Source organism: Homo sapiens, chromosome 6 (genome assembly GCF_000001405.40).
Source record: "Homo sapiens chromosome 6, GRCh38.p14 Primary Assembly".
NCBI lineage: Eukaryota > Metazoa > Chordata > Mammalia > Primates > Hominidae > Homo > Homo sapiens.
The window spans coordinates 98692648-98708634 of NC_000006.12; the positions used below are offsets into that span (position 1 = coordinate 98692648).

The 15987-nt window shown below is 40.5% G+C and overlaps 1 annotated feature.

The window, feature by feature from the left end:
• Positions 10451–10623: a silencer, noted in NCBI's record as "fragment chr6:99150974-99151146 (GRCh37/hg19 assembly coordinates)". NCBI's record gives its function as "represses an EF-1alpha promoter that drives an FKBP-Casp9 reporter gene in an ReSE screen in HepG2 liver carcinoma cells {active_cell/tissue: HepG2}" and the evidence as "EXISTENCE:reporter gene assay evidence [ECO:0000049][PMID:32094911]".

Sequence of the window (15987 nt, forward strand, 5' to 3'; positions counted from 1 at the left end):
CCACAGTGACCATTTTAGAAGCACCAATCCAACCGTCATCCTCTCCCCTACCACAGACAACAATCACCTTGGTAGATTCCCATTGCTCTCAGGATCACACTCACAGGTCTGATCTTTGCAGTCTCGCCTCACACACCTGGCCCTGGCTCTCTGCACTCTGATCACACTGGTCCTCAGTCCCCAAACTGCCCATCTCTGCCCTCTAGACACCTTTGGGATCCTGCTGGCTGTTCATCCCCCACACCTTCCCCTTTCCTTCAACCCTTTCTCTCATAGCCCCCTTACCACCCCATGACAATGACCGAGATGTAATCCGAGATGTAATTTTCTTTTTTTTTTTTCTGAGATGGAGTCTCTCTCTGTTGCCTAGGCTGGAGTGCAGTGGCACAATCTCGGCTCACTGCAACCTCTGCCTCCCGGGTTCAAGCAATTCTCCTGCTTCAGCCTCCTCAGTAGCTGGGACTACAGACACACACCACCGCACCAAGCTAATTTTTGTATTTTCAATAGAGATGGGGTTTCACCATATTGGTAAGTCTGGTCTCGAACTCCTGACCTCAGGTGATCCACCCACCTTGGCCTCCCAAAGTGCTGGGATTACAGGTGTCAGCCACCATGCCCAGCCTAGACAATGACCCAGATATAATTTTCTATTTCACTAATTATTTAATTAATGTCTAGGTGTCTGTTATGGGTTGATTGTGCTCACCAAAAAGGTATGTTGCATTATTCCTGATCCCCAGTGCAGCAGAATTTGATCTTACTTGGAAACAAGGCCATTGCAGATATCATTGGTTAAAATGGGGTCATACTGGAGTAGAGTGGGGCCCTAATACAATATGACTAATGTCCTCTTAAGACATTAAGAAGACATTCATGTGAGACAGACAGAGAACACAATGTAAAACCAGACGATTTGAGTACACATCTACAAGCCAAGACATGAAAAGATTGCTGGCAAAGCAATGGACACGAGAAACAGGCAAGGAAAGATTCCCCCGCAGGTTTTGGAGGAGTATGGCCCTGCCAAAACCTTGATTTCAGACTTCTGGCCTCTAGAACTGAGACAATAAATTTCTGTTGTTTTAAGCCACCTGGTTGTGTTACTTCGTTATGGCAGCCCTAGGAGACTAATAGTCTCCCCGCAAACTCTAAACTCCATGAAGAAGAAAACTGTTTTTTTCTCACTACTGCTTCCCCAGGTCATAGCACATGCCTGGCACACACTAGGCATTTAAAAGACATTTGAAAATGAGTGAAACAAGTAAACTAATAAATAAATACATGACAAAAACTTCAATGCCACTTGCAATCAACAAAAGTGAAATAAAACAACAATTCATTTGTAAAGATCAAAATGTTGTCAATACCTTAGTTTTCATCAGAATGGGGAAAAGGACACTCACAGAGTTGTGGTGAGAATTGGATAAATGGACATTCATATACTGCTGCTGGAAGAATAAACTGGTACGACCTCTCTGGAAACTATAATATGTATTACAGGCCTTTAAAAGGCTTACATTACACACTTTGACCCAGGAGTTACACTTCTAGGAGTTTATCAAACGGAAAAATGTACAAGTATATAAGATGTATGTATAAGAATGTCCCCTGGAGCTGTGTTTATGTAAGAGAAAAATCTTTAAAAATTAAAAATAACCCAAATACCCAATAATGATGCATAGCTTGAGTCAATTATGGTCATCTATATTATGGAATACTATAAGGCCACATCGAAAAATAATTATCATCTATATTTGTTGATATAGAAAACATAAAGGGGTTTACTAAACAGTTTGCATAGTATAGCCAAATTTTTGACAAACAAATATGTGTGTATCAACATAAAGTTAAATCTAGAAGTATAAATGCAAAAACATTAACAGTGGCTTTCTCTAGGTAATGAAATTATAAATGACTTTGAATTCGTCCTTTATTACCTATGTGTGTATGTATGTGGGTGTATATATATATAGGTATATATATGTGTGTGTACATATGTATGTATATAGGAAGGATGAATTTCTGTAATACCCCTCACCTTTCCCTATCAGCAAATATGACTTTTTTGCCTCCCTCTCCCCTTTCAAGTCTCTCTCTTGCCTCCTTTCCTCTCTGTATTATAAAAAGAATACAGGCTTACTGAAAAATCTTAGACCATATACACAAAAATAATGTATAATTGAAATTGTTATAGAAATTGTCATATAATTTCTATAATTCATCCTTCATTATTTTTGTGTATATGGTCTAAGATTTTTCAGTAAGCATGTAGTCTTTTTATAATGAAGAAAAAAAAATAATTTCCAGACAGGTAAGTAATAGCACAAAGTATTACATATGAAGTGTCAAATGAGCGATATAGTTCATGATTTGCAAGCATTGTCTTCCGTGCTCTCTGGATTTCAGTGTTAAATATGCTAAAATGTTTACCCATTTTCCCAATGCAGGACTATTATCCCCAGTCAATCGAAAAGGGCTCAGAAGCAAAGATCTGGGCTGAGTGCCTTCCTGGGGGATTTATAGCAACTTCCCAGGCTAGCTGTGGGGAGAACCAAAAAAGAGATGGGCCAACCCATCCAGAGAAAGCAGCTCATGCAGCACGTGGCTCCCAAGAGAGAGAGAACTGGGATGCATGCTTTTCCAACCCAGGGAGCCAAGGCTCGGAATGGGAATCAGGCCAGAGAGAGACCCAGAAATGTCCATTTGTCAAAAGTTTTATTGCTAATATTACTGCCAGTTTGTCATTATGTACTTTTCAGGCCCCCAGTTGGTCTTCTTGTTCATACAAAAAGGTCAGAGATGATTCTTAATGCTTCACTAATGCGGAATTCAACAAATGGACAGTGGTGAACTGTCAAAAGCCTATAAACCCCAGAGACTTCTTATTTACATGTATATCTTTGTTATCCTGGGCACGTTCTCCCAGTCCTCAAAGGAACTATAGTGTCACCGCAGCTGGCAACAGCCAAAGCTCCTGGTTGCGGAGCCCAGGCCTTGCCAAGATTTAGCCTGGGACAGCAGGAGAATCTGGCACTCCTAGTAACATGCCTGCTGCTTTTCTGGTTCCCCCATTTCCTCTAGTATGGCTTTATGCAATACAGAGAAATTATTTTCTCCTAATATTTGCTGAAATTGGAAATGACACAACTGTGAAGTAAATGCTGTCAGAGGGGCATTTCAGCTATGCTTAAATTAGCACAAAGCCAGAGAAACAGCTTCATTTGTGGACCTTCTCAAGTGAGGAGTACAACAAATATTGCCTCACATACAGAATAACTGGGGATGAGTTACCTGAAACTTGGACTTTTTCTTCTGAAGGAAAGGGATGGTCTGCTCTTGATTATTGCTTGTCATCTCTTATCTACCAGCATGCTCAGATCCAGAAGCAGTGTCCAGTATAACAGTGCTCAATAAATATTTGCAGCATTGAATTGAAACTCACTTCTGGAATTCCTTTCTTGCTTTGATGTGAAGTGTACCTTGTATTTCATACAAAATTAAAAGAACAAAAAAAATTGACTTGATGATCCAGAAGCATCATTTTCCCTTTAACAGACAAAGTCCAAGCACCAGGGCCAATTTCTGTCTTGCTCCTGATTCATGGTGAGCAAAACTGCCATGACATGATCCTGCTCTTGTCTTCCTCACACTTACTCTCTGCTTCACCCTCAAGAGCAGCCAAGTTGCACGTGGCCACTAACAACATAAGGGCTTTTTTGATCTCTTGGTCCTTTCTATGAATTGAATTATCCTCAACTCTGTCTCCAATTTTCAATTTCATCAAAACTCATCGAGCCATAGTGGGCTGTTCTGTGCGTGTGAACATCAGGCTTGGCAAAGCTGACGTGGGCTGGTATATGACTGTCAAATATACCTGAAATGCTCTGATGACTTTTCTTATTTTTAATATCAGATTTACAGAGTAAGCTATTTAAGATTCATCTCCCCATTTATGCCATAAACAGTTTCATTCCTGACACCTTTCCAGAGGATGGTTCTATGCAGTGCCCTTTTAGCAGAAGGCCCTACAGCCTAACCAATTTTGGTCACAAAATCAACTGTGCTGATTCAATTAAAAGGACACCTGTGAGCTTTTTGGTTTTTTTTTTTTCTCCTTTATTTCTTACAAAATGCTCCAATAAGTAGGTTAAATTATCTGTGTCTGAAAAAGAAGGTAAAACTCTCTTGTTGGCTTCTTCCTCTATTAAACTGCTTTAATAGAAACCAACTTTCATTCTGTACAGTGTCCTTCATCCAATTAACAACCTCACTCCATTGAAATTCTTCTCATAATTAACCAATAGCTATTACTTCCCCAAAAAGTCACCCCAATTTACTTACTCGTCCTGTGTACTTCTACACTTTTCTTAGACCTCATCTAAATCAGTATCAGAGAGCATAAAAGGTTGTTTTCTGAAGCACTGGGTTATTTATTGGTGGTTCTTTCCGGCAACTTCCTGTAGCTTGTCGGAGTGCAGGCCTGCACTCGGCCAATTACCACAGGTGAAACAGACCAATGCTCCTAAAGAAAATTTGATAAGCTTGGTTTCTCGTTTCTATTACCTTTTGGTTAGAATTTCACAGGGCTTAAATCAAGCAGCATCTCTTAGGCATTTCAGAGCTGTTCCTTTTTTATGAGCACGGGAAAGGGCAGGGAAATGACAACTCTAATCAAATTCAGACTTCATGCAATTGACGATCGGTGGGTTTTCACATTTGGGTCTGGACTGTTTGTTCAGCTTCAGTGTCAGGCCCGTGGATAACAGTGGCCAATAAAGCGTAAAAGCATATGTCCTGTAACATTGCTTCTACTTGTTATCCAGAGGACCCTGGAGAATCACGGAGAATAATGTAATTAGTAGGAATGTGCCATTGTACAGGAAGGATGAGAGGAAAGAAGACAAGTTTATTTCTGCATATAAGTAACTTAAGTACAGCTTAATCCAGCTGCCCAGTGGACCATCGAAAACCCTTTCACTCCAAAATCAGGAGCAGTGGAGTCAAGAATTAAAGCTAATTGAGGGGCAGAAAAATGGAAAAGGTTTTTGTGGCTTAACCAGTATATCTGGGTAAACACTGCATCCCTGCCAAAACATTTTCATCTGTGGCCTCTTGGAAGTGTTTCATTAGCATCAGTGTGTACTGGGCAAAACAAAAAAATGCATTTGGTTTTACAGTCAGAGAGTACATTTTTGGGGGAGAGGAAGAACTTAAAATAATATAGAAGAAAGTTGAAAGGTGCTATCATTACTAATATCAATGGAGTAATAATAATACCAGCTACTACTATGTGCTGAGGTTGTACATTAATGTGCCCACATTTTGCACACATATTCCATCTAATCTTCACAGGAGCCAGATAAAGCATGTTCTTTTGCTGTGCCATTTTATAGATAAGGAAACTGAAGCTGAATAAAGATAAATAACGTGTTCAGGCCACAGCACTGGTATGGGCAGAGGCAGGAATGGACTCCAAAGCTACACAATGAATTACAACTTCTCATTTTCTTGGTTACATCTTAATTTATAGGGAGTTTGTTTGTTTGTTTTTTGACACGGAGTCTTGCTCTGTCACCAGGATGGAACGCAGTGGTGCAATCTCGGTTCACTGCAACCTCCACCTCCCAGGTTCAAGTGATTCTCCTGCCTCAGCCTCTCAAGTAGCTGGGACTACAGGTGTGTGCCATTATGCCTAGCTAATTTTTGTATTTTTAGTAGAGACAGGGTTTCACCATGTTGGCCAGGAGGGTCTCGATCTCTTGACCTCATGATCTGCCTGCCTCGGCCTCCCCAAGTGCTGGGATTACAGGCGTGAGCCACCGCCTGGCCTTATAGGGAGTTTTTAGAAATTAATCTCTTGCAATGAAAAATTTTTCTTGAGGTAGGAGCATTTCCACAATCCTACCAGCAAAAATACTGGCATGAGAAAAGTGAGGATGAGTCCAATTCATAAAGTTTTTGCTTTCAAGCTACCATAGGAGAACAAATTGCCCTCAACCCTCTCCCTAAATCACTGTGACTACGATATTTATCCCAAGATCCCCCCTCTGACATTCTCATCTTCTCTCCACTTCTATCTCTCAGGAAAATTACTATGATAAACTTTATATCTTTCATGTTCACCACTAAATGCAAAGAAACATGTTTGGTAGTGATTGTATTTTCCTCCACAAGAGCAACCTCTTTGTAGATTTCTCTCAACTTCCTGATACTCCCTCCTTCTCTTTTCCCTTTATTATTTTCTCTGCCACACTGTTTCTTGCTGTTTCGTTTATTTTTCTTTTGTGAAACCATGACCCCAAGAGACTGGATATGCAATGCATTTATTAAGTTGATCTTTAGTCTATCCACTCTCCTGGGACCATCCACAGTTGTTTGCTTGATTTTTAAAATTACACTCTTGGTATAAATTTTTACCAGGGTTAAGGTGTCTGGGAACTGTAAATGTATGAGGTCACCCTGTTTTTAGGTATACTATTTTTGTTGTTGTATTTATTGTTTTTCTTTTTGTGATTATTATTATGCAAATTTCAAAAGAGAAGGGGAAATGAGAAGGAATTCTATGAAGAAAAGAGACAGGGTAGTTTCTAGAGGGTTGGAAAGATAATCTCTGGGGCAGCACCTTAAAATTCTGATTTTACCCATTTCTCCCTGCTCCATGCATAACCCATCTGTCTGACATTCCACACACTCAGAGTACTGAGGGTGGTACAAGGTGTCAACAAGCTGATTTCATAAACAAACTCCTCTATAGTGAGATGTGAATGGATGTTACCAATAGACCATAGGTCAGAGAAATACCCCTCAGTTCTCTCTATCCTGCTTTGCTTTATTAATATGAATAGTATTAATAGTGTTCATAATGACTGAGAATAGAGATTTCTCCAGGTGTAGGTCTATGGAAGCAATAGTCACTTGTTCACAGGTGCAGTCTTCTCTGTAAGCATCTGTCAGATCACTTCCATCTAATGGTTCACAATCTGATGGTTGACTTGTCCTGTTCTAAAGTAATGAATTCTAACAAAAGACCAAACCTTTCTTTGACACTGAATTCTTTTTACCAATACTTCAGGGATAGTTTGTGGTTTGTGACCATAGAATGAACTCACAACCCCTATTTCCAGTCTGGAGATCCCTTCAGTATCATTGGGGGTATTGAGCCAAGGCCAAGAACACACTTCAGTCTAAAATTCTAAAGAAGAAAAATCCTTGTTCTGCAATAGTTGCTAGTCTCTAAAGTTGGCTCTGCCATGAGCCATGCCTCCTTGATTAATATCTTGGTTGAAACCCCTACCTCTTGAATCTGGGATGAGCCCTGTGACTCACTTTTGACTGGTACAAAGTGGCAGAAGTGATGCTGCATGACTTTAGAGACTAAATCATAAAAAGATTCTCAGCTCTCACATGGGTCTCTTAGAATTCTCATCCTAGGGGAAGCCAGCTACTATATAGATCTGACTACTCTGAGATCACCTGCTTAGGACAAGCACAAGCTAGCCAGATAGAGGGACTATATGGTGAGAGAAACATACCCGGCCAGTCCTAGCTGTTCCAGTGCTCTTAGAGGAACTGCCATCTTGGATGTGCAGAGCCTTCAGATGACTCAGTCCTAGCCCTCATCTGACCTGCATGAGACCCTGAGCCCAAAGCTCATTCCAAAGTACCATGAGAGATAAAAATAAATCATTGTTCTACACTAAGTTTTGCAGTAGTTTGTTACCTAGCAGTGGTTAACTAATACACCTGCCTTTCATCAGAGCTGGTTCCCAGACCCAACCTGGGCTCAGAATGATTGTTCCCTATAGTCTCCTTTCAGTTCCATAAGGATTCATAGCACATTAAGTTCTACACTGGACTCTGGCAAAAAGAGCTCTGTGGAACTCCCCTATGGCAAGGAAAATAAAGGTCCAAAGGGAGCCATTACAGGATACTGAAGTTAGCCTCACTGATCCTCACTCTCTCTCTCTCTCTCACACACACACACACACACACACACCTTTTTTTTTCTTTAGCGAATGTCCAAACCAGCAGCCTGGAAAAATGGTGTATATTAAAACATCAAAAAGTAAATCAAATATTTTGAGAAAAACAAGGCAATAGAGTCATGATATCCCAGGATTGTTCTTCTCAATCCAGGATTTACAACTCCTGCTCACATCTACAGCTTAGAATATATGATTGCTTGTTGACAGCATCATCATCAGGAATGGAATAAGAGCTGTGCCTGCTAAGAGTTCATGTAAGACACCTGCTGATAGAAAGCTATTCACCATGTGGTACTTTCTGCCCTTTCAGAGGATCAAACCATAAACCCTCCAGCTGACTATCTTTAAATATCTTTTATACAAGTTGAGGCCAGGTGCGGTGGCTCATGCCTGTAATCCCAGCACTTTGGGAGGTCGAGGTGGGCGGATCATAAGGTCAAGAGATCGAGACCACACTGGCCAACCTGGTGAAACCCTGTCTCTACTAAAAATACAAAAATTAGCTGGGCATGGTGGTGCATGCCTGCAGTCCCAGCTACTCAGGATGCTGAAGCAGGAGAATCGCTTGAACCCGGGAGGCGGAGGTTGCATTGTGTCAATATTGCCTCCCTGGGTGACAGAGCAAGACTCTGTCTCAAAAAAAAAAAAAAAAAAGGCAGAGTTGTCCATTAATAAATGACACAAATATTGGGGCTTGGGGGGTTTTCTTAAACTATTTGCAAACAGTAACTGAATGTAAATAAATGCGCATGGCACACATCAAATGCTCAATAAAATGTTCATTCTTTTTTTTTTTTTTTGAGATGGAGTCTCGCTCTGTAGCCCAGGCTGGAGTGCAGTGGCGCAATTTCAGCTCATTGCAAGCTCCGCCTCCCGGGTTCACCCCCAGCTAATTTTTTTGTATTTTTAGTAGAGACGGGGTTTCACCGTGTTAGCCAGGATGGTCTCAATCTCCTGACCTCGTGATCTGCCTGCCTCAGCCTCCCAAAGTGCTGGGATTACGGGTGTGAGCCACCACACCTGGCCTAAAATGCCCATTCTTTAACTTCCCTATGAAGAGGTCATATTCATGTGTACAGTGCTCTGCATAAGCACAAAACACCCTGAGGACTGAGTGATGGCAGATAAAGGGTACTAGCAGGTTTGGGAGAGTTTACCCTCTGTAAAGCAAAAAATAATATGACCAACACTTTGCAGTTTCAGAGGTTAATAAAATCTACTTGCAAATGCTCTTGTCTTACTTGCACATAGAGTGCATTCTAATATAACTGACACTCATATGTTATTACACATCTATGTGATTGTACTATTCTTATTTAGCTGAAAATAAATCAGGGCACACTCCAGGGTATAACATCTGCAGCAGAAGCCCATATGTGCTGTTTATTTTTATGAATCAAGCACTGTGTTTATAGTTACTTGCTCTTAATTTGAGCCCTGAACTAGAATTCTTTCTTTTGAAGATATCTAGTTAATTATAAGAGCACATAAACTAGAAAATAAAACGTATCCCAGAAATATTATGATGCACATTTGTAATCTGTGTCAAAAACAACTCATGTATTTCTTTTCATCTATAGGAAGAAAAAGCAGAGTCATCTATATTAGAAAAAGGGTAAATATTGGATTGGAATTTGGGAATCTACTATATTTAAACTGCTAGCAAACTATGACTACAACTGGATTCCCCAAAATATGTCCATTTATTTAACATAGATTCATCTCAGTTGAGTAGAGACTAAAATTACCAGTGACAAACTAATGATTTGATGATTTTTTAAAAGATATATATTTTGATGATGGAACAAAAATGTCATTCAGCAATGAATCTTAACTTTTGTTTTGGCTTGTTTCCTGCTGGTTAATGATTTCTAGTGGCTCACACTGTATTGATTCTAATTTTTTCTGATTTAGCACCATTCTCTAAGCCACTCTACCCCTTTGGTAGAATTCCTTTTAATTAACAACATATCAGCAAGACCCTAAGTCCCCATCATGCTGATTTTCTCCAAGGAGGAAAATTCGGTCCCTCAGTCATGGATTCCACTCACCTCCAGTCAGGTTCTAAATGTGCTTTCAAATAGCTGTTCCACAGTCCCCATAGGTGTCTGTACTTGCCAGGCACATATCCTGATTTATTTTTAGTCTGAAAATTTAGTCTGGATTATAAGGAGAACTGAGAAACACTATGTATCTAAACTTTTCACCACCACTAAAACGTTAAATTCTAAACTCAAAACCAAAGTGAGAGGAATTAACTTTTAAAATATTGGCTTTGTTTTTTCTTTAATTTTATAGGTACTCAAATATTTTTATAATGTAAAAATTTCTTATGAACAATTAATACCATGTTTACCTCTTGCTACAGAGCCTTGATATTCCCAAATAATTTCTCAGGATTATGTGATATAAAGATTTTCGGTAGGAGGAGCCAAGATGGCCGAATAGGAACAGCTCCGGTCTACAGCTCCCAGCGTGAGCGACGCAGAAGACGCGTGATTTCTGCATTTCCATCTGAGGTACCGGGTTCATCTCACTAGGGAGTGCCAGACAGTGGGCGAAGGTCAGTGGGTGCGTGCACCGTGCGCGAGCCGAAGCAGGGCGAGGCATTGCCTCACTTGGGAAGCGCAAGGGGTCAGGGGGCTCCCTTTCCGAGTCAAAGAAAGGGGTGACGGATGCACCTGGAAAATTGGGTCACTCCCACCCGAATACTGCGCTTTTCCGACCGGCTTAAAAAATGGCGCACCACGAGATTATATCCGGCACCTGGGTCGGAGGGTCCTACGCCCACGGAATCTCACTGATTGCTAGCACAGCAGTCTGAGATCAAACTGCAAGGCGGCAGCGAGGCTGGGGGAGGGGCGCCCGCCATTGCCCAGGCTTGCTTAGATAAACAAAGCAGCCTGGAAGCTCGAACTGGGTGGAGCCCACCACAGCTCAAGGAGGCCTGCCTGCCTCTGTAGGCTCCACCTCTGGGGGCAGGGCACAGACAAACAAAAAGACAGCAGTAACCTGTGCAGAATTAAATGTCCCTGTCTGACAGCTTTGAAGAGAGCAGTGGTTCTCCCAGCACGCAGCTGGAGATCTGAGAACAGGCAGACTGCCTCCTCAAGTGGGTCCCTAACCCCTGACCCCCGAGCAGCCTAACTGGGAGGCACCCCCCAGCAGGGGCACACTGACACCTCACACGGCAGGGTATTCCAACAGACCTGCAGCTGAGGGTCCTGTCTGTTAGAAGGAAAACTAACAAACAGAAAGGACATCCACACCAAAAACCCATCTGTACATCACCACCATCAAAGACCAAAAGTAGATAAAACCACAAAGATGGGGAAAAAACAGAACAGAAAAACTGGAAACTCTAAAAAGCAGAGCGCCTCTCCTCCTCCAAAGGAACGCAGTTCCTCACCAGCAACGGAGCAAAGCTGGATGGAGAATGACTTTGACGAGCTGAGAGAAGAAGGCTTCAGACGATCAAATTACTCTGAGCTACGGGAGGACATTCAGACCAAAGGCAAAGGAGTTGAAAACTTTGAAAAAAATTTAGAAGAATGTATAACTAGAATAATCAATACAGAGAAGTGCTTAAAGGAGTTGATGGAGCTGAAAACCAAGGCTCGAGAACTACGTGAAGAATGCAGAAGCCGCAGGAGCCGATGAGATCAACTGGAAGAAAGGGTATCAGCAATGGAAGATGAAATGAATGAAATGAAGCGAGAAGGGAAGTTTAGAGAAAAAAGAATAAAAAGAAATGAGCAAAGCCTCCAAGAAATATGGGACTATGTGAAAAGACCAAATCTACGTCTGATTGGTGTACCTGAAAGTGATGGGGAGAATGGAACCAAGTTGGAAAACACTCTGCAGGATATTATCCAGGAGAACTTCCCCAATCTAGCAAGGCAGGCCAATGTTCAGATTCAGGAAATACAGAGAATGCCACAAAGATACTCCTCGAGAAGAGCAACTCCAAGACACATAATTGTCAGATTCACCAAAGTTGAATGAAGGAAAAAATGTTAAGGGCAGCCAGAGAGAAAGGTCGGGTTACCCTCAAAGGGAAGCCCATCAGACTAACAGCGGATCTCTCGGCAGAAACTCTACAAGCCAGAAGAGAGTGGGGGCCAATATTCAACATTCTTAAAGAAAAGAATTTTCAACCCAGAATTTCATATCCAGCCAAACTAAGCTTCATAAGTGAAGGAGCAATAAAATACTTTACAGACAAGCAAATGCTGAGAGATTTTGTCACCACCAGGCCTGCCCTAAAAGAGCTCCTGAAGGAAGCACTAAACATGGAAAGGAACAACCAGTACCAGCCGCTGCAAAATCATGCCAAAATGTAAAGACCATCGAGAATAGGAAGAAACTGCATCAACTAACGAGCAAAATCACCAGCTAACATCATAATGACAGGATCAAATTCACACATAACAATATTAACTTTAAATGTAAATGGACTAAATGCTCCAATTAAAAGACACAGAAAGGCAAATTGGATAAAGAGTCAAGACCCATCAGTGTGTTGTATTCAGGAAACCCATCTCATGTGCAGAGACACACATAGGCTCAAAATAAAAGGATGGAGGAAGATCTACCAAGGAAATGGAAAACAAAAAAAAGGCAGGGGTTGCAATCCTAGTCTCTGATAAAACAGACTTTAAACCAACAAAGATCAAAAGAGACAAAGAAGGCCATTACATAATGGTAAAGGGATCAATTCAACAAGAAGAGCTAACTATCCTAAATATATATGCACACAATACAAGAGCACCCAGATTCATAAAGCAAGTCCTCAGTGACCTACAGAGACTTAGAATCCCACACATTAATAATGGGAGACTTTAACACCCCACTGTCAACATTAGACAGATCAACAAGACAGAAAATCAATAAGGATCCCCAGGAATTGAACTCCGCTCTGCACCAAGCAGACCTAATAGGCATCTACAGGACTCTCCACCCCGAATCAACAGAATATACATTTTTTTCAGCACCACACCACACCTATTCCAAAATTGACCACATACTTGGAAGTAAAGCTCTCCTCAGCAAATGTAAAAGAACAGAGATTATAACAAACTATCTCTCAGACCACAGTGCAATCAAACTAGAACTCAGGATTAAGAATCTCACTGAAAACCGCTCAACTACATGGAAACTGAACAACCTGCTCCTGAATGACTACTGGGTACATAACGAAATGAAGGCAGAAATAAAGATGTTCTTTGAAACCAATGAGAACAAAGACACAACATACCAGAATCTCTGGGACGCATTCAAAGCAGTGTGTAGAGGGAAATTTATAGCACTAAATGCCCACAAGAGAAAGCAGGAAAGATCCAAAATTGACACCCTAACATCACAATTAAAAGAACTAGAAAAGCAAGAGCAAACACATTCAAAAGCTAGCAGAAGGCAAGAAATAACTAAAATCAGAGCAGAACTGAAGGAAATAGAGACACAAAAAACCCTTCAAAAAAATTAATGAATCCAGGAGCTGGTTTTTTGAAAGGATCAACAAAATTGATAGACCGCTAGCAAGACTAATAAAGAAAAAAAGAGAGAAGAATCAAATAGACGCAATAAAAAATGACAAAGGGGATATCACCACCGATCCCACAGAAATACAAACTACCATCAGAGAATACTACAAACACCTCTACACAAATAAACTAGAAAATCTAGAAGAAATGGATAAATTCCTTGACACATACACTCTCCCAAGACTAAACCAGGAAGAAGTTGAATCTCTGAATAGACCAATAACAGGATCTGAAATTGTGGCAATAATCAATAGTTTACCAACCAAAAAGAGTCCAGGACCAGATGGATTCACAGCCGAATTCTACCAGAGGTACAAGGAGGAACTGGTACCATTCCTTCTGAAACTATTCCAATCAATAGAAAAAGAGGGAATCCTCCCTGACTCATTTTATGAGGCCAGCATCATTCTGATACCAAAGCCAGGCAGAGACACAACAAAAAAAGAGAATTTTAGACCAATATCCTTGATAAACATTGATGCAAAAATCCTCAATAAAATACTGGCAAAACGAATCCAGCAGCACATCAAAAAGCTTATCCACCATGATCAAGTGGGCTTCATCCCTGGGATGCAAGGCTGGTTCAATATACGCAAATCAATAAATGTAATCCAGCATATAAACAGAGCCAAAGACAAAAACCACATGATTATCTCAATAGATGCAGAAAAAGCCTTTGACAAAATTCAACAACACTTCATGCTAAAAACTCTCAATAAATTAGGTATTGATGGGACGTATATCAAAATAATAAGAGCTATCTATGACAAACCCACAGCCAATATCATACTGAATGGGCAAAAACTGGAAGCATTCCCTTTGAAAACTGGCACAAGACAGGGATGCCCTCTCTCACCACTCCTATTCAACATAGTGTTGGAAGTTCTGGACAGGGCAATTAGGCAGGAGAAGGAAATAAAGGGTATTCAATTAGGAAAAGAGGAAGTCAAATTGTCCCTGTTTGCAGACGACATGATTGTATATCTAGAAAACCCCATTGTCTCAGCTCAAAATCTCCTTAAGCTGATAAGCAACTTCAGCAAAGTCTCAGGATACAAAATCAATGTACAAAAATCACAAGCATTCTTATACATCAACAACAGACAAACAGAGAGCCAAATCATGAGTGAACTGCCATTCACAATTGCTTCAAAGAGAATAAAATACCTAGGAATCCAACTTACAAGGGATGTGAAGGACCTCTTCAAGGAGAACTATAAGCCACTGCTCAAGGAAATAAAAGAGGATACAAACAAATGGAAGAACATTCCATGCTCATGGGTAGGAAGAATCAATATGGTGAAAATGGCCATACTGCCCAAGGTAATTTACAGATTCAATGCCATCCCCATCAAGCTACCAATGCCTTTCTTCACAGAATTGGAAAAAACTACTTTAAAGTTCATATGGAACCAAAAAAGAGCCCGCATCACCAAGTCAGTCCTAAGCCAAAAGAACAAAGCTGGAGGCATCACACTACCTGACTTCAAACTATACTACAAGGCCACAGTAACCAAAACAGCATGGTACTTGTACCAAAACAGAGATATAGATCAATGGAACAGAACAGAGCCCTCAGAAATAATGCCACATGTCTACAACTATCTGATCTTTGACAAACCTGAGAAAAAACAAGCAGTGGGGAAAGGATTCCCTATTTAATAAATGGTGCTGGGAAAACAGGCTAGCCATATGTAGAAAGCTGAAACTGGATCCCTTCCTTACACCTTATACAAAAATCAATTCAAGATGGATTAAAGACTTAAACGTTAGACCTAAAACCATAAAAACCCTAGAAGAAAACCTAGGCATTACCATTCAGGACATAGGCATGGGCAAGGACTTCATGTCTAAAACACCAAAAGCAATGGCAACAAAAGCCAAAATGGACAAATGGGATCTAATTAAACTAAAGAACTTCTGCACAGCAAAAGAAACTACCATCAGAGTGAACAGGCAACCTACAAAATGGGAGAAAATTTTCACAACCTACTCATCTGACAAAGGGCTAATATCCAGAATCTACAATGAACTCAAACAGATTTACAAGAAAAAAACAAACAACCCCATCAAAAAGTGGGTGAAGGACATGAACAGACACTTCTCAAAAGAAGACATTTATGCAGCCAAAAAACACATGAAAAGATTTTCGTGTGCTCTTTCCTAATCTCCACTGACAGTCCAGCATTAGATTCAGACAATGCACTTGGGTCAGGTATTTCTTACTGAACAGTCTTGATAAAAAACAATAGTAGTTTTTTTTTAATTTTAGTGTATTTTCTACTTATTATGCAACATAAAGTGATTTCTTTACAGAACTTTTTTTGAGGATCAAATGAGATCAAGTATATAAAAAGACTAAACTGCAAAACAGTCTATAGACAAATTTTTTTATATCGGCTTTTTCACATCACTGAAAATCTCAGGGTATGAGATTGCAACAGAGGAAAAAAGTA